The 26,795-nt window shown below is 34.2% G+C and overlaps 1 protein-coding gene across 21 annotated transcripts in view, besides 1 other annotated feature; it reads right to left on the reverse strand.

Moving 5' to 3' along the window:
• The window catches only part of RALGAPA1 (Ral GTPase activating protein catalytic subunit alpha 1), a 270,940-nt gene that overhangs the window by 9,191 nt on the left and 234,954 nt on the right, over positions 1–26,795 (reverse strand). For 11 of the 21 annotated variants that reach the window (NM_194301.4, NM_001346246.2, XM_047431182.1 and 8 more), the window contains 3 exons: positions 25,014–25,172; positions 23,071–23,198; positions 1,564–1,688 (listed from right to left, as the gene is read on the reverse strand). In NM_194301.4, the coding sequence (NP_919277.2) occupies positions 1,564–1,688; positions 23,071–23,198; positions 25,014–25,172 (412 nt within the window). Of the gene's footprint in view, positions 1–961; positions 993–1,563; positions 1,689–23,070; positions 23,199–25,013; positions 25,173–26,795 lie in introns of all 21 variants that reach the window. The other 10 variants (NM_014990.3, NM_001346243.2, NM_001283043.3 and 7 more) reach the window with 1 other exon arrangement.
• Positions 3,272–4,246: an enhancer, noted in NCBI's record as "VISTA enhancer hs348". NCBI's record gives its function as "enhancer in: forebrain[6/9]" and the evidence as "EXISTENCE:transgenic organism evidence [ECO:0001131][PMID:17130149]".

Below are 26,795 nucleotides of genomic sequence, written 5' to 3' on the forward strand. Positions count from 1 at the left end.
TATTCATATCTCTTTTAATATAATCTGACATTTTATCGGACATTCTCCATTATTAAACAAGAAAATTGCCAGATATACTTAATTAGTTATTTTGCTGTTCATTAATTTAATATTTCTCTTTTACCATCTTTTTTAATGCCAAACTGGGTAATTTTGGATAGTGTCAATCCATTAAAGTGAATCTTAGACTTTTTATCTCTTTCAAAAGATTCAACCTGGTTTAATACGGTTTTGTCTTTGCTAGGTCTTTTATACTATCTGAAAGCGATCTAAATTTTTTGTAAAATTATTTTTCTAATAGCAATTTAATGATGACAGGAATGGAAACTTTAATTTCACTAACTAAATCTCAATTGAGAATTACAGTAACTTTTTCCAAATAAATTAGGCTAGAAAAGAAGTGTTGTGCCTTTTGAATTTATTTAATATAAAGAAAACTTATTTAATATAAAGAGATTTGAAGGTTTATTATGATAAACTTCAAGCATATTATGTCCTCTTTTCCTGCTTCCCTTGAATACCATTACAACAGTCATCTTTGTATTTCAGGTGCCTAGTGAAGTGCAAGGCACACAGAGAGTTATCATTTGATGAGTTAGGATATCCAATAACAATGCAACACATCACAAAATACAAAGACACACTACTTCAGTTCAATAGTACTACTTTTTCATGCTGAGAAACAGAAAAAAAAGGTCAATATAACAAGGTGTAACTAATTTCAACCAAGGGATTCTATTATTAGTTATTTTTATCCCCAAACCATGTTAGTGTTTCATGCAGACCTGGGTTAGTCAGTATAATACTGGAAAAAATTTAGTGACAATTTCTGAAATGTTTAGTATGAACCGGACAGTGTTAAGTTTACTTATTGTTTAAGTTACAAGCTTAGAGCCTGCTAATTTTGAAAAAAGGAAATGGGAGAAGAACAGAGGGTGTTTTGGTTGACACTTTGTCTTACCTTCAGATAAACAGAACTGATATTTAATGATCTAAAGAGGGAAAATAAATGAAACAATCATAAGGAGAGCAAGATATTACAGAATAGGAAGGCCACGAGTCATTTATTTTCTTACTGATTTCTTCAAAATTAATCATAAAATGCAGTACCCTCTTACACTCTTTAATTATTGTAACATAAATTACAGTATTAAGTACTTCTAAATCTAGACCAGTTATATTAGCTTTAGCTGTAAAATCAGAGATGATGGGGTGATATTCTTGGCCACAAAATTTGATCCTCTGAAGTTCAGAGTGCATGCTTAATTTGTATTTCTTTTGCAGATACTTCAGAAATGATTCCAGAAGATGCAAGAGTCATTGAATATTAGCTCATATAAAATGTGGTACATGTACTTTTATGAAGATAGTTGACTTTTTAAGGAACTGCATTTAGGTAAAAGAAACCATAAATCAAATTTATAGGCCAAATTCAAATATTAAATAGTGATTAAAAATTCATATTTCAATGATTAGAATTTTTTTCAAGCAAGTTTTTAGAACAAAAGGGTACTGCATTTCAAGTTCCAATAACAAGTAACTAATACTCGCTTTTAATCTTACCGGCATCAGATGGTAAATGGTGGTAGGGAGCTGGAGAAAAAACCTGTGCTGCAAAATCTTCAAATGTTGTTGGTTCTAAGTGGTGCTGGACAATTGTTTGCAGGTATCGTGCTCTCTCCTCATAGCTGATTTCCTTTGGTTAAGGATAAACTTAAGTGCAGCTTATACTGGAAAAAAAATCTTATCAAAAAGGACTGCTATGATTGCTAAGCCATTACTTCTTAATAAATAGAATTATTCACTAATTATTCTTATATATTGTTAACAGTATGGCTTTTTAAAGTGCAAAAATATAGTTTTTAATGTATGTTTACTCTTCATGATCCCAGTATAAATGACAACTTAACAGGGAGACATTTATTAGATAATAATTACAATAATACTAAACTACTGAAATGAAGGAAGTTAACAGTTTACTTGAGAAAGGATTCAATTTCTATCAGGAGTCTAGGCTGAAATTTATATCGGCCTAGGCTCATCTTATCTTGTTAATCAGCTTCCATCTGCAGATTTACTCTCAAAAGCCACGCAAGAAACATTGTAATGTTGCTTAAGATACTACGTCCAAAATTCTGTTTTTCATTTGTAAAGATTTATTGTGAAAAATTCCTACATATCTTCTTCTTTTTCTAAAATCCCTGCATTTTCTCAACAATTGTTCTCATTTTGAATGGAAGATTACTGTTGCTGTAATCCTCGAATAACTCCATGTGGTTAAGATAAATACATAGCTGAATCTGTATGCTGGGAAAAAATACCTAGTCAATTATAACACTGAAACAAGCAGGAATATTTGCAAAGAGTCCACAGGACTCCTAAATACTGTCTAACAAAGCATCTCCAGGGCACTGACACTGACAGAAAAATACTGTAGTTCCTTTTCACCACATTTTCTTCTCTGATATTATTGACAAGCAACCAGTACCTTGAAGCGTTGTTGCTTTTGAACAACCCACTCCAGGCTTCCTGTTTCAGCAGGCCTGATTGTGCTGTTAGCACAGAGAGGGCGAGAAAGAGAGAGAATATTTCTGTTGTTCACGAAAGCAACTATGGAAATGGCTGTCAAAATGTAGAGCAGCAGGCAGCAACATACAATTATCAGGAAAAACTCACATGCTGACTTCATGTCATATAGTTCCTGAACTGAGAAATCAGTTAACCTTTCTTTTAAAACTTTTAAAAGTTTCCCTGTGGTACTCAGTGTGCTATGCTGACAGGCTTTACATAAGACATTTAAATAAGGATAATAAAAATTTGTCTACTTGTTCTTCTTTTTTTCCACTGAATTTTTCCCCAAAGTCCACTTTAATATTTTCCCTCAAAATTCCTTATTTTTTAAAAAAATGCAATTTAATTATTATATAGTTCTAAAACTCTAGAAATTGTAGACTAAGCCAAGACCCAAAAAAATAATTTGAGAGGAAGATAATTTTAAATAATTCAATGGGAGATACCATGGCCAGTTAGTTATATTTACAAGTTCACTGAGTAAGAAGAGAAAAAAAAAGTATAAGAGTTAAAGGCAAGACTATATTCATTATGCACTTGACTTTGATTGTGGTAACTTTTGCTAAGTGGCTTTCATATTACAATTTATCTGCTTCTATTACAATTTATCTTATGTATCAAATATTAAAATAACCTTGAATCCCAATTCTATTACCTTCCATTCTGTACACTGGGGGTGAACTTCAAAAGAATTTTACTTTTGAGGTGGGAAGCAATAGGACAAGATGCATATTAAAATGATCAGCATCAAGGATTTTACATGAGGATAATACGGACATTTTTGAGTCTTAACATAAACAAGTAATATGGCACACTTTTAAAGGGGGTATATGGTTATAAATAGAAGAGGATGAAACTGATGGTACAATCTAAATAATACCACATATCTCACAACTTGTTGGAAAGTACTTTTTTCATTGGGGGAGATTCACAGCTGCCGAATTTTCTGCAGTTAATAGAGTCCTTTGATTCACAGCAGTGCCCCTTGTACAAAAAATACTGGCCTTTGTGTATTACCAGAAACTAATTTTCTATTTGGCTGAAAAGGGAAAAATGGGGTTATTGCTTCTCCCTCCTACAGAGCTTTTCATTATGCCTGATGCACTCAACTTCTAAGCTCTTCTGAGAAAAAAAATAACTGAAGAGGCAAGAGGTAGAAAAATGAGCTTGTTAGCACATTAGAAGTGAAGTATCTTGGTGGGCCCTAGAAATTCCCAGTGGTGTGTTAACTTATCACTCTATGCATGCTGGCACTGATAGTCTTCCAATTGATCACTCTCTTTTCGCACCAAAGGTGCTGCCAGGAAGCAAAGGCTGAAGGCCCACAGGAGAACAGTCTGCTATCAAAACAAGCTGTTTTTAAAAGTCTGCTTGAATGGGTAAAATGCTTCATGAAAAGTAGGGTGGAGACACCTACCTGCTTTTAAAAATGTTCTACTTTCAGAGGGCCTATAAATGAAATATTTTACATTATATTTAGAATTTATATAAAAATTAGGCAGAAAGAAAGCAAATGTTAATATTTCTAAAGCAGGGGAGGATATTTCCAATGTAGTAAATTCATCAAAGCAAGAAAATGATTATCTAGCTAAAATACATTTTGCAGACTAATTCTACTTCCTTATACAAAGAGGCTTATAAAATGGAAAAAATCCTAATACACAGCTGCACAAAACTAAAATTATCCAGATATAACATACTCATTTTGTATAAAAAATATATTTAATACATTTACAATAAATTAATTAAATTTCATTAATGAAAACAATGCTTTCTAAAATTATTTTAAAAGTTCAAGTCAGGATGGCAGAGTGAAGGGAAGCAATCATTAACGGTTGAATTTAAATGAAAAAACTACAGTGCTCATCACTTATTAGGTAAGTTTCCTTTTTGGGGGGTCAAACACTGTTAGCTTGGTAAAATAACTATATCTAAGGTAAATCACTTTCTAAAAGCTAAATGATCTTTATAAGTTTCCCAGTTTGATGTAGCCAAATAAATAAATAACAACATGAAAACAAGCCAACCCAATCTACAGGACTTACATCCCCCCCCGGCCCCCGCTTTTTTTACTTCTGAAAACATGTATTAAGGAAATATAATAAACTCTAAGCACTTAGACCACAGTTCTGAGTCCACAACGAGGTGCTTTTTGTGATTGAGATGATTAAAGTTCCAAACAGTGCTGTTAGAATCTGCAATTGTAATCATCCAAAGCAGTTAATTCCTATATCTCATTATAATAGGTTAGACACTTACTCCATAAAAGGCATCTCTCTAGGGAAGAGTTATTAGTACATATACATTGAGTGGCACACAAACTCCACAGCTGGCAACAACAGGACAACTCAAGCTATCGTTTTATATGGTGAGTGCCTGTTGCCATTGGCATTGAAATTAAAAAACCGAAATGGATAAGATGATAAAAAGGTGAAGGTAAATAAAAAAATTCAGAACAAAAATTTAAAGTACAAATCTAAGTTGAAGTAAGCAGATTTTGGTTGTAAATTTAAAACAACTCAAGCCAAAATTAGCTAATAAAAACCATTTGATGAGGGAGACTTTTAGCTAGTAGGAATCTTTAATACAGAACTAGCCAATCAAAAAAAAAAAAAAAATAACACACAGGTGCTGCAATCACAGCAATATAATTATCCACTAATCCTCCTTCCGCTTTCTACAAAAGGAAAAAAGGGGGGAAGGAATATTATTATTCTAAAAATAAGGGAACAAAATGTCTATAGCGTAAAGAAACAGTTTAAATGTAATCTGTAATTCATTAATATTAAGTTAACATCATTACATATTTTAAATTATTACTCTTGATTTTAAGCTTCAAGACCAGCTATTAAGAAACTGGGTTCAATTTCAGACTGATCCTGGAAAGATAAGCATAAATTTTCTGTGCCATAATTTATCTGTATGTTAAATGGGGATACATCTGTAAGTTAAGTGGGGATACCATCACCTGCTCACTTCATAGGGTGTTGAAGATAAAGGATACAAATACGGGGTAACACAAAAGTGCCCTGACACCTGTCCTGAAATACTTTATTTTGACCTTTGGCTCACATCTTTGTAAACAGCAGGTGCTGTCTCTAGGAGGGCAATTTTTGATGTCAGTTTAAGAAATATACCTGTATTCATGTGCAAGAACTCTTTGATAATACTACTACTATTTCTTGTTTGCGGCACGTACAGAGAGGGAATTTTGACTTATTCTGATGCAAGGAAACTGATTTCTCATGGAGGAAAAGGACAAAAGATACTGCAGAAGGTTATGCAGTATCAAGTATTTCAACTTTATTAACACATAAAAGAATAGATAAAGGTAGATTTGGTTTTAAAGAAGCAACACCTTTCGTTCTCCACAATAATTTTATTAATCTGGTAATTGTGAACTGCTTGTAATGTTAGAAAAGGGAAAGCTTTCAGTTTTGTAATTCCATGGCACAACCAGTAGGCTGTATAAACATTCAGTTCAAATCTAATTTGTGACTAGTCTGAAAGAAATGGAAATGTGTGTGTGTGTGTATATATGTATGCGTATACATATGTTATACACAAGAATGAATATAAGGTATAATTTTCACAAAAAGGAATTATAAAAATTACAACTTGTAAGCAGATATCAAAAATCTGTATAATTGCTTATTTTCCTCTTAAGTTCAGGTTTCATGTTTTATTTCCTAAACAAGAAAAAACGATTGGCTCATTTTAAAATAAAGGCAAGTATAAAGTGTTTATATCTGTGCTCAATGGCATAGTCTCAGGGATTTAAGGCCCATTCTGAAATTCTTAATTTAGTAAGCACTTCCCTACACTCATATATTTCTATGGCTTCTTTGCAGTTTCAGCACTTAGGAATTTTATCTCCCTTCTCTAGACAGAAGATTCCAAAAATAGTAAGCACAGGAAGAGGGAGTGTTCCAATAGTTACTTAGAAATGTTGCCTACTGATTTAAAAAAAATTTTTGGTGAGTACAACTTAAATCATATTTGAGTTGTAACTTAAAGTAGCTGAAATCTGAGTACTACTTAAGTTGAGCAGATTAGAGTAAATTATTCAATACTCATAAAGTTTGTAAGGTTGGTAGCCTGAAATTGGCTATGGTGAGTTTCCACATCATACATCTTGAAGATTGCTGCAAAACGCCCACCTGCCAGGTCCCCTTTAGAGAACTCTTTCCTTAGGCTTGTTCTTCTACTAAATACACTTTCTTTTTTTTTTTTTTTTTTTTTTTTTTGAGACGGAGTCTCACTCTGTCGCCCAGGCTGGAGTGCAGTGGCGGGATCTCGGCTCACTGCAAGCTCCGCCTCCCGGGTTCACGCCATTCTCCTGCCTCAGCCTCCCAAGTAGCTGGGACTACAGGCGCCCGCCACTACGCCCGGCTAATTTTTTGTATTTTTAGTAGAGACGGGGTTTCACCGTTTTAGCCGGGATGGTCTCGATCTCCTGACCTCGTGATCCGCCCGCCTCGGCCTCCCAAAGTGCTGGGATTACAGGCGTGAGCCACCGCGCCCGGCCTAAATACACTTTCTTAAGAAATAGTTTTTATACCCGATTCTTGGGGGCAGATTTGGTGGTTCTTCAATGTTACTTCTTCACTTTAGAGACTACTAATCCAGCCATTCTACTTATGTTATTGAAATTTTTATGATCCATTTTGTGGTTACAGATAGTGGTGAGACCAACGCCATGGGGACAGAGACCTTGTCTTCTTATATTTATGTCTTCAACACCCAACACAGGGCCTGGTAGTATTCAATGACTGTTTACAACTTCTAGAAGGAATGAATAAAGTTGGTTTGATAGTAGATTAGGAGATGTCTGTTATGCTGACAGCCCCTTTCCTCTAATCCCCATATGGCTCTGTAAAGGCAAACCTTTTAGGGGGAAATATAGTTGGAACTTTCCTAGAACTGGATTTAGACTTTGAATCTTTCTTGTGAGAAAGATTTTGGTTCTACCATGCCCCTTGATCTTGCTGGCCCTCTCTGGAACCAAAAAAAAGTAAATAAAGCACAATGTATAAATATGTAAAGTATTACATTAAGAGAAAAGAAAACTGATAATTACTTCTTTAAATCCTCATAATCTTAAAGAAGGATTTTTTCTTTAGGCAATGTAATTATAACTCATAATTTAGCATTGAAATAAACATTTCCCCCATTGGTTGTGATAATTGTTTAAATTTTTTTCATAAATTCTACAATGGCATGAGAAATGAATTTAGTCAAACTAATTCTATTTGCTTAAGTGGCCATTTATAGAGAAGGGAAAAAAAGGGAAGAATGAGAAAATCTTTACAGAGAAAATTAAATGAAGGGTAATTTCAAATCATTTTAGGCAGATTTCCAAAACTGCTCTGTATACCATAAGAATAGAAGTAATAATACCCTTGAAAAACAACACTTGAAAAATGTTAAATATTTAGGTTTTTAAAAAGGCCACCTTGAAAGAGGTTATCCCAAGACAAGGCATCATTTATCGAGAATATTTAGGACAGTTTGAACTAGAGGAAGGATACATCCATCAACATTACTTCCAGGAAGCTTGGTAAAATTAGTTTATTTTACTAATGTTTATAGGCAGCAATAAGGCTTGCCTGAATGGAGAGTACAGAGATTTGCTTGGATAAACAAAGCTGCTGATGGATAGAGCTGGGACTAGAATCTTGGTCTTTTAATTAATAGTCCAATGCTCTCTCTACATCCAATCTCAATGACCTAGGTGTTGTGCGGTGAAAAAGCAAAGGTATATTAGGCCTTTTAGTTATGTCAAAATAATGAATATTAGCTTAAATTCTAAGACTGGCAATTTTTGAAAGATGTTTGTTTACATATTAGTAGAGTAAAATACTATTTGCTATACTATAGTTTACTATACATTAGTGACTATACTACAGTAAAACCCCTTGCATGTTCTAAAATAAAAATTTGAAAACAAACCACATTTGGCACTTCAGTTTTAAAAGGCCTTGAAATATCTTTAAACATTCTGAGGCAATATCATTACACAGGGTCTTGAAAAAAGAATGAAAAATAAGAATTTTATTGAGACATAGCATATGGGTAGACATATTTTGCAAGTACATCTCAAGGATCTCATGGTTATTATCGGTAGTAAAGTAGCAAATTTTCCGAAATACACCGGGTAATTAGTATCTCATGGACTAATATATAATATACACTGTTCATTTATAAGATGAAAGCAAACTATACTGCTTACCTTATAAAGCAAGATCTGATAAATTAAGATCTGGCAGAGGGAAAGATATTCCATTTCTTTCCTACTGTAACTAATTTTTTCCAGAAACATGCAGTCTAGTTCACATGTAGTAAAAAATAAAATTCCCCTAAACAAATTGCATGAATCTTGTTATTAATATTGCTTATACTATGTTAATAAAAATTCTTCTGAAAGTCTGCAACAGGTTATGACAAATTATTGTCTATTTTTATGATGCCTTATATTCATGAAATTCTTTAGTAGTTGATACTATCTACACCATGAAGGAAAAGCTGTGATTTGTCAGAGCAGACAAAGCTGGGCTTTAATCCATCCTTTTAACCATATTGCCAAGTCTATATTGTTTTCACTGCGTCTCAATTAGGAGACAGGCAGGACACCTGGTACTTCTTTATCTAAGTCCCATGGGCTGCCAGATGACTCAAAATCCATAACAGGTGCTAAGGCAGTGTGAGGATAGCCCTATTATTGAAAGCTGGAGTTGAATAAAATTTGGACCACATATAATTGCTCATAAATCAGTCAATTACTAAATGAAAACATTAAGTAAAAAGTTGATAAGCCCAATTCCACCAAAGTTTGTGTAAATACATTTAAAAAGATTAACCTTAAATAAATAGGCTTAAAAATTTAAACCTACCTAAAGGCTCTGAAAATCCTTCCTGATTTAATAATCCAGTAATCATTGGTGGGTTTCAAAAAGCACTAATATGATTATCCAATATGTATGTGTGTGTGTGTGTGTGTGTGTGTGTGTGTGTGTGTGTATATATATTCTATTTTCATGAAAGTTGTACGAAGCAAAACAAAAACTAGGGTATCTGGATTTCAAATTTAGTGAAATTATAATGTCCTCTCATTTAATGAAATTATAATGTCCTCTCATTCTTGGAAAGATCTACTTGGACCCTGTCAGAAGACTGCAAAAAGAAAAAAAAAAAAAACCCAAATAAGTGAAATTTTACAGTGTACAATTACTTAAGTGTTATCTCTACTTAAATGTGCACTAATTTAATTAAGATTTTATTTAAGTGCTATAATTATTGGGAATACAAAAAAAGTGATTTTATTATCATAGTAAGTAGAAACAAAGTACAGTAAACTGTCATTTAAGACAGTGTCATAGAATCTATGATAAGCAGTACATTGGCTTAAACTAATGCACTATATGCCCCCAGGGAATGATAGGCATAGACACTGGACTTTAACATCAAAATCTATCCATTAATCTTGACTTAAATACAATCTATTCTGCAGTAAAAGGAAGAATGGGCATTCAATGAATTACTGTTTTTGAAATACTGCACTGGTGCCCATTTACTAAAATTACTTAAGAGAACACAGGATATGGAATAGTAGTAAATTTTACAGATTTACTGATTTTACAAAACATGCATTTGAATTTCCCCAAATCTAGCAAGAGCATCCCATTAAAAAAATTTACAGATTTAAAAGGTTTCTTAAAATATCTCTTCCTTATCCTATTTAAGAACATGCTGCATAAATTATAATACTGCAATATAATTTAGTCAACTTCATTTCAGCTGAAAAGAAAGAATCATCTATGGGGTCAGAATCCCTGGAGTCTGAAAATAAGCATTAATTTTTTTTTCAGGTTGTAGATCATTGTTTCTTTGCAACAAAACTACACAACTGCTTGCTGATAAAGCTGACCAAGAAAACAGAAAGGCCAAGGAGTGTTTATATAAATATCAGCGCATACAATATTTCATAAAAAAGGAAACAACCCTCACATTAAAAAAAATCCAACCAGAGGGAATTCAATGAGTGAGATAATCATACACGACTGAAATAGTTATGAGCTACTCACTTAAATGATAAATCTGGCATTTAACCTTAAGATGTGCTGACTAATTTATCTTTAGTGGATTATTTTAGCACTTGTGTTATGCAGAAAGTTAATTTACATTTCTATACTAATATCGTTTATATGTATTCAGATGGTATTTGGGAATCCTAAAAAGCAAAGTGTAAATTAAACCAAATTTATAACCTTATCTGACATGTGAATTGTGACGATTTTATCCACTTCACCTCAATTAAATTATGAAGATAAAAAATTCCTTATTTTCATCTAATAAAAAAATAAGGCAAAACTGACTTTTGCTCTGCAATAATCTGATGGGCTAAAAATAGATAATGGCATGTTAATAAGGAATTACTACAGGTGGTTGCTTATATTCATTTGCCTTCTTTTTTGATAGTAGTTACATGCTAAATAAGTCAACATTCTTAGCAAGAGAGTAAGTAAATGTAGAAACATCAGTTCTGCAACAGCTATTTTTGCTTCTTCTCTTTTCTGAACAGCAATTAGTAAAGCAACCCCTTCCCCTCCTCCCTAGTGCTGTCAAGCTGTTCAGAGCAGTTTGCAACTCGACAATGGTACCATTGTGAATGCTCTCTGGGCTTCCTTCCCACAGAGAGTTAAATGGGCAGTTCCTGCTGCCCATGATTGGTGTCCAGTGAAATAATACTCAAGAGCCAGGTTTTATCAGCTTCACGCCAAAGAAGTGAAGCCAGGGAACCCAAGCCTTCATATCATACTGGACCATATGCCAACCCTGATGGCCCCAAAGGTTTATCACTAAGAATCAGGATCCATCATGTCCCTTGTGAAATTTCACTTCACATACCTTATGTGAAATGCAAAGCTTCACTAAAAACTGAACCTTCTTTACAATTGGCATGAACAGATGGGCGGTAACAGTGGTTTGGCAAGCAAAAGTTAAGATTTAAATAGGCTCTATTCTAGTGTTTGAGAGGAATAGCAGTTAGAAGAAAATGGATAGATTTGTGACCCATACTTTAATTTTAATTCCATTATTATTAAAAATTTAATATCAAAAGGCCTATGTTTAGTCAATGAAAAGAATGAATGAAAACCACTTCAATTCCTATGTCAAATATGTTTAAAGACTAATTTCTGCTTTACATCCTTTCTTCTTTGCTCTTTGAAATCCCGAAATAGCATCTGAATCTACAGTTGTTTTCATATTTAAAGAGTAGAATAAAAGTTGTACATTATGTAGTAGGTGTGGTGAACAATAATGTGAGTGGAGCAGTGCACAGTCATCACAAACTGCAACATCATAGGGTTTTAATACAGGAAAAAAAAAAATCCCTATTCCAGCACAGGTGAGAAGTTGATAAAGATAGAAGCAAACTTCAAGTTTCGTTGTTTTTAGGGAATACTGTACTTTGTCCGTGCCCTGATGGAGTTCTCTTTCTTCTCGTGCACTGTGATATGACCCAACTGTCCAGATTGGCATATGTGGACCATACTGTTACACTAAATTTGACAAAACAGATAAGATGGTGGTAATGCTTTCTTTTGGTATTTTTGTCGTTGTTGCCATGAAGTCAATGTATTATAAGACTAGGACAAAAGTACTTTATTCATCAATAACGTGTAAAAGTGTAATAATGTGTAAAAACTCAATAATTGTATAAAAGTATCTCATAGGAAAAGTGTAAAGGATTGTTGTGCAAGAATGAAGAGTATCATGAGTCTATCATAAGAAATATGAAAATCTCAGATGCTCTTTTAAAAATGATACATATGTATAAATACTATCAAACATTTAGAGATCTTAGTCTCATTGAGAAAATGCAATACTGGCTATTAGCCTGGCAATTATTGCTCAACTAATTATCATAAAAAAGACTTTATGAAAATAACGATCAATAAACATTTTGGAAAGGCTTCGCTAGAAAATGAAAAATAAGAAATTCAAGCTGTAATTGTTTCGCTAGTCAACGGGTAAAAAACACACAATAGCAGAAGGAACTGTTACCTTAGACACTGGCTGCCATAAAACAATCAGTAGCATTAGAAAACCACATTTATGTTTATTTTCTTTCTGCTTGACTGTATTATCTGGTTTTGACCTACTTCTTGATCTTTATCTGCCACTGCTCTTCCCTTTATATCATCCAGCAGTACTGAACACCTTTTATCTCTTGACCATATCACATTTTTATGCCTCCATGTCCACTTCTTACCCTTAAAAAATTCTTCCCTGACCATATCTGTCTAGAAAAGTTCCATGTGTCTCTGAAATATTAGCAGAATTCTTCCATAGTAAAGCCATTCCTCTAATTTCCATCCCATCCTCTCACCCTATCCTCTCCCACTTAAAATTAATCACCTTTACCATCCTACTTGGTCTATATCACTATTGCTGAATGACCCCAAATTGCTTAAGTTTATCATTAGTGCATTAAGTTCTTGGTAGAAGATAAAAATTGAAAATATCTCTAGAATTAAAACAATGTTAACAGAAATGGAAGTTGGCCATATACTGAAGTCATTTTTGTGAGCTCCCACAGTTTAACTGTAAGTAATTATTGGTCAATATTAGTAAAACCTTAAAGACTGTCTCTAGAGACCATTAAGAGACAATGCTATTTTCAGACAGAATAAACTTTCTTTACTATTATCACAAAGTTATTACATATCAGAGATTCACATTTATTGCTTTTTGAAAGGACAAGGATTTGCTAGACCAAAACTACCATCTTTAAAGGTATGCAGTACTTTTAAAATACGGTAACATCGCAGGGCGTGGTGGCTCACACCTGTAATCCCAGCACTTTGGGAGGCCGAGGCAGATGGATCACGAGGTCAGGAGTTTGAGACCAGCCTGGCCAACATGGTGAAACCCTGTCACTACTAAAAATACAAAATTAGCTGGGCGTGGTGGCAGGCACCTGTAATCCCAGCTACTTGGGAGGCTGAGGCAGGAGAAACGCTTGAAACTGGAAAGTGGAGGTTGCAGTGAGCCGAGATGGCGCCACTGCACTCCAGCCTGGGGGAAACAGCAAAACTCTGTCTCAAAAAAAAAAAAAAAAAAAAAAAAAATACAGTAACATCATCAACAGGCATATACTGCCATTTTTGAAAAGAATAGCTAAATAAATTAAAACTGACATAATCAAAAATATACTAGAGTCACTGTAGAAGTGTGGCACATATATGGGGCCCCTGTTTAAATAATTACTCTGTATACACAGACTACAAAGACTACAAGACTTGGCAGCAAAATCCATGACAAGGGGATGTGTAAGCACAGCAAAAAATTCTTTAATTGTAATGCCATGTCTTTAATATAGGAGTTTTTTTTTTTTTTTTTTTTTTTTTTGAGACAGAGTCTTACACTGTTGCCCAGGCTGGAGTGCAGTGGTGCAATCTGGGCTCACTGCAACCTCTGGGTTCAAGCAATTCTCATCCCTCAAGCCTCCTGAGTAGCTGGGATTACAGGCGTGTGCCATCATGCCTGGCTAATTTTTTGTATTTTTAGTAGAGACAGGGTTTCACTATATAGCCCAGGCTCGTCTTGAACTCCTGGCCTCAAGTGATCTGCCCACCTTGACCTCCCAAAGTGCTGGTATTACAGGTGTGTACCTGTAATACCTAGTTACAGCCACCGCGGCTGGCTGAATACAGGAGATTTAAATCCTTCAATTATGGAGCAGATTGTTAGGTAAAGAAGAATGTTTGTCTGCTCTTGGAGAGATCCTACTACAATGGTTAGTACCAGTAGCACAATGGCTGTGAGCTTTTCAAAGACCACAAAACCTGGATCACTTAGCTGGTAAGACATTTTATTTGAAGAATTATCTTCTCTTCTTTTGAAGAGAATGACCATAACTATACATCTTAGTTAAAAATCAATTTGACTTAACAACTAATCAATTTGATTTAACAACTAATCAATTTGTCCATGATATTTAAGACCTTCATAGAAAGCATGAAGAACAAATGGCACAAAATTTTGAGAGCTCCTAATGGACTCAGTAACATAGGTGGTACAAATGTTAAAGCAGCAAAATTGGAAACCTCATCAGCGTCTAGACTCCCATTGCTTCCCCCTACTGCTCTCCTGTTGCTACCACTTTCCTTGCCTTACAGCAGGAAGTGTGAGCCTTCAGGGCTCAGCCTCATGCTGCCTCCTCCTTGGAGGGGACACCAAGATGTGTCCTCCCCAAGTCATCTGCCACTGCCATCAAGTCAGAGATGTCTTAGCTCATTTTTCTCCCTAAGAGATCTCCCAACCCCAAATGAAGTGAAAACCCTCATTAATGAATGACGTCTGAAAATTATCTTCAGTAAACTATAATGGGCTCTAATAAAAATATACTACTGATTAAGTAGTCAAAATAAAAAACCCTTGTATGTGTGCTAGCCTGGCTTATTGATGTATCAGAGGCAATTTTCACTGATCCTAGGTTTCCTCTTCTTACCTACCCAGTAAACTCTTAAGAGTTGTAGCCTAGTCTAATACAAATCACAAACTATAAGTTACTACAAAAAATATTTGGGGCTTTTCCATTCTTAAAAGAATCCATGGCCGGGCGTGGTGGCTCACACCTGTAATCCCAGCACTTTGGGAGGCTGAGGTGGGCGGATCACGAGTTCAGGAGATCGAGACCATCCTGGCTAACACGGTGAAACCCCATCTCTACTAAAAATACAAAAAATTAGCTGGGCGTGGTGGCATGCACCTGTAGTCCCAGCGACTCGGGAGGCTGAGGCAGGAGAACTGCTTGAACCCAGGAGGTGGAGCTTGCAGTGAGCTGAGATAGCACCACTGTACTCCAGCCTGGGCAACAGAGCGAGAGTCCGTCTCAAAAAAAAAAAAAAAAAAAAAAAAAAAAGAATCCATGCTAAATCTAAACTTCAAAAAGATAGATAATAAATACATCCACCTTGTTCTAATTAGAATAAATTACTAGCCATCTACCATAGGCTAGGCACTGTGCTGGAAGTTAGTGAAACAAGGAGGGTAAGTAAGACTTGCTAATATATACACACACAGTAAGTACTATAACAAAATGTTTTGAGGCAGTGTAAATAATAGTTTTACATAGTAAAGGAGGTTTTTTTTCTTTTAAAACAAAGGATATTTGGGTCATGAATAATAAATATGTTAGGTAGAAAAAGTAGAGATGGGCATTACTGGGGTAACAACATGGGCCTGAAAAAGAAGAGCATTCAGGAATAATGAATATGACTTAGCTGGACACATAAGGTGCCCTGGGCGTCAGTGTGGTAGGAGATGAGGGTAAAGATGGGGGATGGAGCTGGGGAGGAGTACAGGTATATTGGACAAAACTGCAGTGAGAAACATAAGGGTAGGGAGGGTAAGGTAAAAATAATTGCTTCCAGGTCATCAAAAAATTTACACTTGTTTCAATAAGCAGTTAAGAGCCATCTTAAGTCTTTTAGTATACAGATGTTTCTTGACTTACAATGGGCTTACATTCCAAAATACTCATCATAAATTGAAAATGCATTTAATACACCTAACTTACTGAACATTATAACTTACCCGAATTATAAGGAATATAACTTATCGTCCACTTTAAATGTTCTTGGAACACTTACACTAGCCTGCAGTTGGGTAAAATCATCTAATGCAAAGCCTATATTTTCTTGAGATGGAGTTTCTCTCTTGTCGCCCAGGCTGGAGTGCAATGGTATGATCTCGGCTCAGTGCAACCTCTGCCTCCCAGGTTCAAGCAATTCTCCTGAATTTTGAATCAAAATTCAAAATTCTAAGTACGATTTCTACTGAACAGTGTATTGCTTTTGTACCATCATAAAGCTGAACCATCCTAAACTGAGGACTGTCTGTACTTAGGTTTGCATTTTAGAAGAATATCCCAAGTGTCAATGTAGATGATAATAACGATAGCATCATTAACTCCCATGTAGCTACCATTTTCTGAACTCTTGCTACATGACAGATAGGTTACCTAGTGCTTCATGTGGATAATTTTACTTAATCCTTACATCATCCTGAATTTGGTACTATTATCCTCTTTTTACACATTAAATTAAGGATAACCCATACTTATTGATGTTATCTTCTGAGAAAATAATCTACAAAAGACAGTAGATACATAAAATTACATAGTTTCTCAATAAACTCATTTTCTTCTAACGTGAAATGGCAACAATACTGACAGACCCCCCCAAAAGGTTTTATAATGTTTTATTATAACGAAAGGCAACTGCATTAGCAGAACCAATCAATTCATCAATTCCATTCCACTTAGTTTTGGCTTTCCTACTTTGCAACAGGTACTGGACATTTGAGTAGCAGAGCTTGAGGGAGAATAAACTGTAACTAATTGAAGAATAATCACTGACTTCTGGTAATCTCCCTGATCAAGTTAAATAGAAACCCAATTCTGGTATTTAAGAAAAAGTCAAATCTAAACAGATTAGAAGAAATCAAACGATACTAGTTGTGGTAGGAAAGAATATTCTAAATCGAGGAATAAAGTATTCTTTTAAAATGCCATTTAATTATATAATATCCCCCATACTGTATATTTCAGAATATTATACTTCTATAATATACATATATGCATACAAAACCTTAGGACTATAAATTACAAGAATTAAAACAGACATGTTGCATTCCATCTACTCAAACCCCACCTTCTGAGGCCCAGATTTTCTAAACACTCTTTCCTGATCTTCTTACTCCAAAGTAATTTCTTCACCCTTGGAACTCTTATAGCATTTTATCTATAACCCTACCAGGACATTTTCATTTAGTCTTCTATTATAATTAGTAATTACATATTATTCTCTCCTTGTTAAATTATAAGCTTATGAGGACAGGATTACTATCTGATTTGTCTTTGTATCCCTCTCAAAATCTTTACTGTGTAAGTGATCAATAAATATTTTTGAAGGAAGAAAAACTACAATTCTATTTCTTGACTTGTTGATAGTTAAACTGTAATAATTCATTACCTAGTACATTTATGATTTATGTATTTTCTCAAATTATAATTTGTAATAAGGATAAAAAGAAAAGAAAAACAGGATATGTTGGTTAATTTTATGTAAACTTGGCTGGGTCATGGGACCCAGTTTTTGGTCAAACATCAGTCTAGATGCTACTGTTATATTTTATAATATTAATATAATATATAACATATATTATACTCTTAATTACTGTACAATACTGTTATATTTATACTGTTACAGTTATATTTTAGATTTGATTACCATTTAAATCAGTAGACTTTGGGTAAAGCAGATTACCCTCTATAATGTGGGTGGGCCTCATCCAATCAGTTAAATACTTTAAGAGAAAACACTGAGGTCCCCTGAGGAAGGAGAGAATTCTGCCTTCAGACTCAGACTGCAACATCAACTCTTCCCCGAGTCTCCTACAGATTTCGAACTTGCCAGCGCCCACAACTACATGAACAAATTCCTTAAAACAAATCTCTTTTCTCTCTCTTTATATATACATCCTATTGGTTCTGTTTCTCTGAGAACCCTCACTACTACAACATGATTATATATTGTAAATTCTGCAAATTTCTATGTATAATAAATCTCACTAAAAGAAGAAACAGTATTTACCTAAAAGTATCATATTTAACATTTGTATATTCAGAAGTCATAGTCAAAATGTCTTTAGGATCAAAAGAAATAATTGCTTTAAAATTTTTATTTAAGGAATAGAATCATGATGGCTGAGGTCATGAAATTAATAATTTGGGATTATGATTCCCACTGAAAAAACAGAAACAAAAAAACCATGAACACTCTTTCAATAGGTAACTAATAAACGATGGCTAGGATTAAAGCTGAAATACCTCTCTGGTCCAATGGTTACACAGAATCTGCTTGGTTTTCCTCCACAGTGTTGCATTTCAATTCTAATTGCATGATTAAACTAACAAATTGAGCTCCAGACCCCTCCCCTGCCTGAAAAAAAAAGTACCTAGCTGACAAAATCAGAAGTTGTAAGAAAATGCTTTTCCAGTACAAGTAATGTAAGAAACAAGTGCAGCGAAGGAGAGGTTTCAGCTTGAAAGACAGTCATCAATACGGACAGATTACTGTAATTCTGGCTGCTGGTATGATCGATTTGGGTAGCATATGACAATCAATACTGTCCCCATTTAGTGAACAACATTAGATTCATGGTTTCAGAACATGTTCCTAGGATAAAATTTAAACTGTATTTAATGATCATAAATAGCACAATTTATGCTTTGGAATCTTAGTGAGTACTTTTATTGGGCATAAAATAACTGACACAGCAGTACAATTATCCAAATATAATCAAGCTTATTATTTTTTATCCCTTCATTTCTTTTATGAAGAGTAAAGGATTAACTGGTGGTTTCCAAAGCCTACCTGTATCTCAATTTCTGTTGTAATTTATGTTAACTAAATTGTTGACCAATTTTAAAATGCTTGATTTTTTCCTTAATGAGAACGTAATCTGATATTTCAAAAAGGTACATCTTAAAATTTAATACATTATGTTTCTGAAATAAGTATTTATTTAAAATTAAGACAGATGTACCTGTATTTCAATATCTTAAAATACAAATGTCTAGTTGTAGTTTATTATATAAATGTTCATTTGAAAATCAAGTAATCCACCTGTATGAAGTCATTTCCCCCCAACATTTAGAATATAGAACTTTGTACATTATATATATATATATATTTGTACTATATATATATATATTTGTACTATATATATATGCATATGTATGTATGTATTAAGTAGAGATACTATACTACTAGCCTTTGCTGCATGTATATACATACTACACTAGGTATATATACTACACTCAGGTAGCATAGGAAAACAACTTCCTGTAGTTTCTAAACTCAAGATTCCAAGTCAAGAAAAATTTGTTTGATCTACCTGATTTAATGTATTTACTCTGTGTCCCAGAAGTAATTTTGCTGGTAGAAAACTTCAGATTTTCTGTTTAAATAAAGTATTCATGTTTACTATTTTCATCAATTTTCTCCAATGTGGTATCTATTAACATCTTAGCAAGATTGGCTATTAAAAACATGATGAAGTAGGCCTGAAAAATCCAACCCAATCGATCAACCTACCAATCAACCAAACATAAAAATCCAATTAGGCAATTCCTTGGTGTTGGGTAGACTTGTTTTATATTGACTGTAATCTTTACACATAACAGGATTAATCATTGCACAAAATAATGTAACTTATTATTATATCTACTAAGTACATCCAAGTTCATTATCTCATTTAATCTTTACAACAATTCTGAGATGGTTATTAGCATCTTTTTTACTGCTGAAGAAAGTGAGGTTCAGAGATTCTGTGACTTGGCCAAGATCACAAGGCAGAGCTTGAGTTAAAAATTAATGCTTTCTAACTGCAAAGCCAGCTTTTATATACCTTTAGTGTAACATGAAGTCTGAAATAGAAGACTATGAACAGGGATGTAGAAAAAAAAATTAAGCCATATTCCCAAAACTCTTGAGTTTGCATTTTAAAACTACTTGGTAAGGAGTGCATCTTAAATGTTGTTGTACCTCATGTCAGAAAGTTTGTGCTTGCTCAATAAGTTGAGTTCCTATTTTATGACACAAGAGGCAAATAGAGTTTTGCATTACAATCTAATTGATCTCACCACTTTCCAAAAAGACCTAAGACATTTATTTACACAAGAAAGTACAAACTCTTCCATATCTACCTCTATGCTCCACTTTCAATTGCACCTTTAATGAAATGACAGAGGACACTCTCAGAATGGACATTAGGATATAGTGAACTGTGAAAGAGGCAAAGGTCAGAGAGTAAACATCCTTGATGAAGCTAACAGAGTGGATAAAATTTATGGGTAATAACCTGTATATTACATGTTAGATTAGCTACTGTTCTAGAGATATTCAGGAGACAACAAACTGAAAAGTATATGCCAATAAACAGATTAAAACTACAAAGCTTTTATGGAAGTACAGGTTGAGTATCCCTAAGCTGAAAATCTGAAATCTAAAATGCTCCAAAATCTGAAACTTTTGAGCTCTGACATGACACTCAAAGGAAACATTCATTGAAGAATTTCAGATTTCAGGTATTCAGATTAGAAATGTTCAATTAATTGGTAAGTATAATGAAATTTTCCAAAATCCAAAAAAATCTGAAATCTGAAACATTTCTGGTCTCAAGAATTTCAGAGAAGGGATATTCAACCTGTATTACAATGAGATAAAAATCAGAATAATAAAAATTTAGAAAAAGTAGACTAGGAAAGTGAGAATTTGTCAGTAAGCATCTTGTTTTGTTTAAAGGAAAAAGATACTGTATCTAGGGAATGAAGCCGTAATTCCTAAAAAAGGCACATGGTATGTGTGGACCTTATAAATGGTAAGCTGTGAGTATGGGTTTCACAAATCATTCTCCCCATAGTTTATTCACATCTGGGGAAAAGACTCAAGATTCCAGGCCCCAAAGGTAAAGGAAATGAAACTGATTGCTGGCTGAGCTCAGCAGGGTTCACAAAAACTCAAGGGTCTTCTTGAATAGTTCCTCCTAATGCTTCAAACAATCAACAGACAATATAGTCTTCAAAACAATCTTCAGAAACAATCAACAGACTGTATAGTCAAAGACAAGTGACTTAGAAATAAACTCGCCATGTCCATACTACTCACTGAACTTGCCTACCGAAATTTCTTTTCAATTGATAAATCTCTACTTAGTGGATGTCTCCAAATTATACTTTTGTTAACAATTCAAGGCTCATTTTAGTCATTATGATTTCACTAAAATGACTACTTCAAATATGAGTTTTCAGTTTAAAGTAAGTGAAGATATAAATGCTATGAAAAAGAAATACTACAGAAATGTCATTAAGCTTAATCAATGTAACATACCATGATCCACCTGCAATTCCATTTCACTGTGTCAGAATACATGAGAAATTACAGAGTAATCAGATAGCTTAAGTCAATTTTCGTCAAAAGAAGAAAATGTACGTGGTAAACTACCAAGTTAAGATAATAAATCTATTTCATGTGGACTGGAACATAAGATATTTTTAAAAACTTTCCTTTAAAGCTTATCATTTACAGTTTATTATATAAAAAATAAAATGTTTTAAATCATATAGAAAAATTATATGAAAAACATAAATTTATTTTAGAAAGGAATATCAGAAAACAATTTAAATTTAAAACTTTGTGTATGTTGTGTGCCAGGCACTGTTTTAAGAGCTTTACACATATTGACTCATTATTAGTTGTCATAACACCATGAGCTAGATATTATTATCATTCTCATTTTATAGACAAGAAAACTCAGGCTCAAAAAGGTTAAATAATTTTCCCAAGTCTACACAGCTAAGAAAGCATGGCCAGCATTTGAGTTTAGGCAATCTGGCTCTGGAAGTTATGCTCTTAAACATTCCCCATCTTCTCATACCTCCATGTCTCTGATTATGTTGTTCCCTCTGCTTGGAAGGCTCTTTGGCTCTTCCACCTGATTAACTCTTATTTGTCCTTCAAAATTGGTTCAATCCTCACTGTTTCAGAAGTGTTTCCTGACAACACCACTCCATCCAGGTGAGTGAGAGACCCCTTGTTACTATATTTCTGGAATACCTGCCCATATCTCTATTAACAACATGTACGCTGAATACAGTATGTTTCCCCAACTAGATTGAATTATTTGCAATGACTATTTTGATTACTTCTGCAACTCCAGAGTCGTAGAGTACCTGACACATAATGGGACTCTAATTAACCAAAAGATTAGTACTGATTAAAAGTATATAAAAGAGGGCTGGGTGCAGTGGCTCAGGTCTGTAATCCCAGCACTTTGGGAGGCCGAGGCGGGCGGATCACCCGAGGTCAGGAGTTCGAGACCAGCCTGGCCAACATGGTAAAACCCTGTCTCTACTAAAAATACAAAAATTAGCTGGGTGTGGTGGTGGATGCCTGTAATCCCAGCTAATTGGGAAGCTGAGGCAGAAGAATTGCTTGAACCCCAGAGTCGGAGGTTGCAGTGAGCTGAGATCGTGCCACTGCACTCCAGCCTGGGTGACAAAAGTGAGACTCCATCTCAAAAAAAAAAAAAAAGCATGTGAAAGAAAATATATCATTCAAATATAACTGCTCCAACACTGGGGAGGAACTGAACCATCTATACATCAATAAACAGGGAATCAGGCTGGGTGCAGTGGCTCACACCTGTAATCTCAGCACTTTAGGAGGCTGACCAAGGTGGGACAATCATTTGAGCCCAGGAGTTTGAGACAATCCCGGGAAACATAATGATACTCCATTTCTACAAAAAATAATAATTAAAAAAACCCTAGAAAATAAAAGGCTTTAACAATATATAAGAAATATTTACCTTTGTGAGTAGACATACGTTAGAGTAGAAACCATTACATTAAAAAAAGGATACAAGTTTTGATACAATGGAATCAGAGATTTCAGAGCACGGCTTGCATTTATAGCTGTTGCTCTAACCATAATGGGTAGAACCTTTCCATTCACAATAGCACCATCAAAAAGGGGACCAAAGAAGGGAACCTGATTGAGAAATCAGAACATAATTTTACATTCAAATTACAGACAGATTGTAAATAAGAGCAATCAAGACACTTTGCATCCAAAAGTATTTCTGCTGCTTCTTTAGTTCTTCCTTCAGTAAAAATACTATTTGAATTCAATTCTTTTCTGTGATGGGTCACTCATACTAGGACAATAAAAATGTCAAAGGTTTATAGGGTGTCTATTCAAAAGAACTATGTGCTTCATGTAACTGAGTAAATAATTTACACACTTAGCCAATTTCCAAATTTTACTAGTTTCAATTGTATACAAAAAGCCAACACTAGAAGTAAATTTCCTTTTCTCCATTGAGTGAACAAAAGAAAAATATATACTTATAGGCAAGAAGTTAGTTTTTCATTATTTTTGTGACACTAGCTTTACTACAGAACCTAAAACCCTTATTACACAGTTTATTAGAAAAAATATCTATGTTTTGATAATTAAATGTTATTTTTTTGAGGTGACTCACTCATGGTTTCAAAACTTAGAAATTCTGTTTGAATAAGGTTGGCATAAATGGCAGCTGAAGGCAAGGAGGTAAGCTCTGGATAAGATGGTAAATATTTTAGATTTTGTGGTCACATGTTCTCTCTGTTGTATATTCTTCAATTTTTTTTTTTTTTAATTCTTTAAGGCTGGGCGTGGTGGCTCATGCCTGTAATCCCAGCACTTTGGGAGGCCAGATCACCTGAAGTCAAGAGTTCGAGACCAGCCTGACCAAGATGGTGAAAACCTGTCTCTACTAAAAATAGAAAAATCAGCTGGGCATGGCGGCAGGCACCTGTAGTACCAGCTACTCGGGAGGCTGAGACAGGGAATTGCTTGAACCCGGGAGGCGGAGGTTGCAGTGAGCCGAGATTGCGCCACCGCACTCCAGCCTGGGTGACAGAGCGAGAGCCAGACTCCGTCTCAAAAAAACCAAAAACCAAAACAAAACCACCACCACCACCACCACCACCAACAAAATGTCTTTTTAAAAATGTAAAAAAACCCAAAACCAAAACCGAAATATTCTTAGCTTGTGGGTTGTATGAAACCAGGCTATGGGCCACAGTCTGCTGGCCTCTGGTTTAGGTGAACCCTGAAGAAACCTAAATTCACACATAAGAAATTCATACATGAGAAACTTAATCTAATTCAAGGAATTCTGAAGATTCTTAATCAATTGTCAAATGTAGGTTTTCTAGAAACTGAAGAATTCAGTTTAAAAAAGGGAAGGAACACACCAAAAATACTACCAAACTTTTATTATCCTGGAAGAAAATATTTCTGCAATAGTGTGTTTGAATTCTATGGTGTATATATAAGACATCCAACTATAGGATAGGTGACTGAACCATTTGGCTTATTTTTTTTCAATTTGTAGAATCCTCATTTATTGACATGACTAATAATCATGCAATCTTAATAAGATATATCAACTAAAAATATAGGAATCATATAGTCCTATTATAAAGTAAATGATTACTTCTTACTGTGATTTTTAGGAAATTGTAATTGTTCTCTTAATAAAAGGTAAGTCCTTTTTGAGCTTGGTACACAGGAACTTTCACTCTGGCACTACCTAGCCAAATCCTCCATTTAAACACAGTTTCTTGCTATTTATTCTGTTTTAGCTCCTTCTGAACCAGGCTTAGGCAATCCATGTAGCTACCAGGGTCTATGTAACATTTACCCTCAGTTTCACAACTTGATGCCTACTCCAAATTTTATTCTGTAACATGGAAAGAAACCCATGAACCCCTATAGAACCAAAATCTATTACTAAAATGGAAGATAAGGAGTTCTTACCTCTGGTTTTTTCATTATCTGAATACTGAACATGTGATTTTTCATTGGATATATTACAATAAGGACATCACCAAATTCTGTGGGAATAATTCCTCTCCTGTAGTCTCTAGTATGCTCTGACCAAACAATGTGCACTTCATCATTTCCCAAATGTCTCAACTGGAAAGACAAGAAAACAATTTATACTGCTTTAAAAGCTCTTTGAGTACAGTCATACAGTCACATACAACATAAAAAGGGGAAAAACGAAATTAAAAAATTGTTAAATTGCACTTGATCAGTTTTACATATGAAACACAAACACTCAAAAACATCAGGAGACACTGCAGAAGACCAGACAATTTCAATTGTCAATAATCAATGGGTAACAGAGAACTTAGATTTAAAAAGATTCACATATAGCCCAAATACTCTCCTTAACCAGCAACTGCACCAATTCTCCACTAACAGATCTTTTAAAAGATTGTTTTAAAAAAAGAAGTAAGTAACTCATAAATTGGATAATCCCCAGTTGAGTAAGAGAAAGTTGATTATGTTTCGTTTAACGAATTTATTTCCAGGTTTTCTTTGCCCATGAAACTCAAAAATTCTTCCAAATAGATGTCTTGAGAATTGTTAGACCCTCAAGACGTTATTTAAATGTTTGTGGGGTTTGCTTACAAAGGTGTTTCTGGCAATCAGAGAGAGTTAACATTATGATAATTAAAACTGTAAAAACACAAAACATTCAGAAGTTGGATTTCTAATAAGGTGTTAAAAAAATGAACTTAATGCCCTTTAGTCTTAAGTTTTCTTCATAGAGACTGCTATAATGCATTTTATTATAAAATTTCATTATACTAGTACGTTTATTGATTCTGCCACTGTGAGCATTTGAGTTGACTTTTAGTGCAGATCTTACATGGGATTTCCATTAGTTTCAGATAACTAGACACACGGCAGGTGGAAAGGTTTAGAAGAGTAAACCTGGGATAACTGTCATCAATATTTACGCTATCAGCTAACATACGGGCAATTTCTATCTCAGAAATATGTCATTTATTTTGGCTTAAGGATGAACATAGGGTAGGAAAAAGAACTTAATATCTGATTTAAACAAAGAAAGGAGTTAAGTCCAATTAGTGAAAGCCTCTCTTCTGTCACTCCTTAATCCTGGAGTAACTCCTTATATGCATACACAAGTTGAATAATATAAATGTGTGGGACTTGGGCTTTGTGACATTTTTAAAAAGCAAAAAAGATTACACAACTCAGAAAAGCCATGGCTTCATAATTTCATTTTTTAATCAAAATACTTTAAAAATATCCTTCCTATACAGCCATCCCCATGTGTCAGCTTCCCTAATAGGTTTATGTTAACTGAATACAAAAGAAATGTGAAATAAATTTAACCAGGAGGGATGATCCAATCTAATTTTGATACATTAATGTCATATGCTGTACATGTTACAATAGCAGCCAGATCTAATACTAAGCTCCAGGCTATACTGAGATTTCCAAATGGCAGATTGTTCTAAGTGATATCAAGTATAATTGAAGTAATAAACGATAGTAAAAGCTGAGCACACTGTCAGGAAGAATTTAGGTATTTACTTTTTAAAATTAAATGAGTTAGGTAAGGAAAGACAAGACAACTGAAATAATGCAGGTCTCAATTTACAGAAAATTCCTTTTATTTATCTGCTACATTAACCCTTGAACTCTTGCCAAAACTATCTATAATTTCTAGTGCCCACTTATCTAAAGAAACGAGAAAAAAGGGCAAGTATACTTTTATTTTAT

Source organism: Homo sapiens, chromosome 14, assembly GCF_000001405.40.
Source record: "Homo sapiens chromosome 14, GRCh38.p14 Primary Assembly".
NCBI lineage: Eukaryota > Metazoa > Chordata > Mammalia > Primates > Hominidae > Homo > Homo sapiens.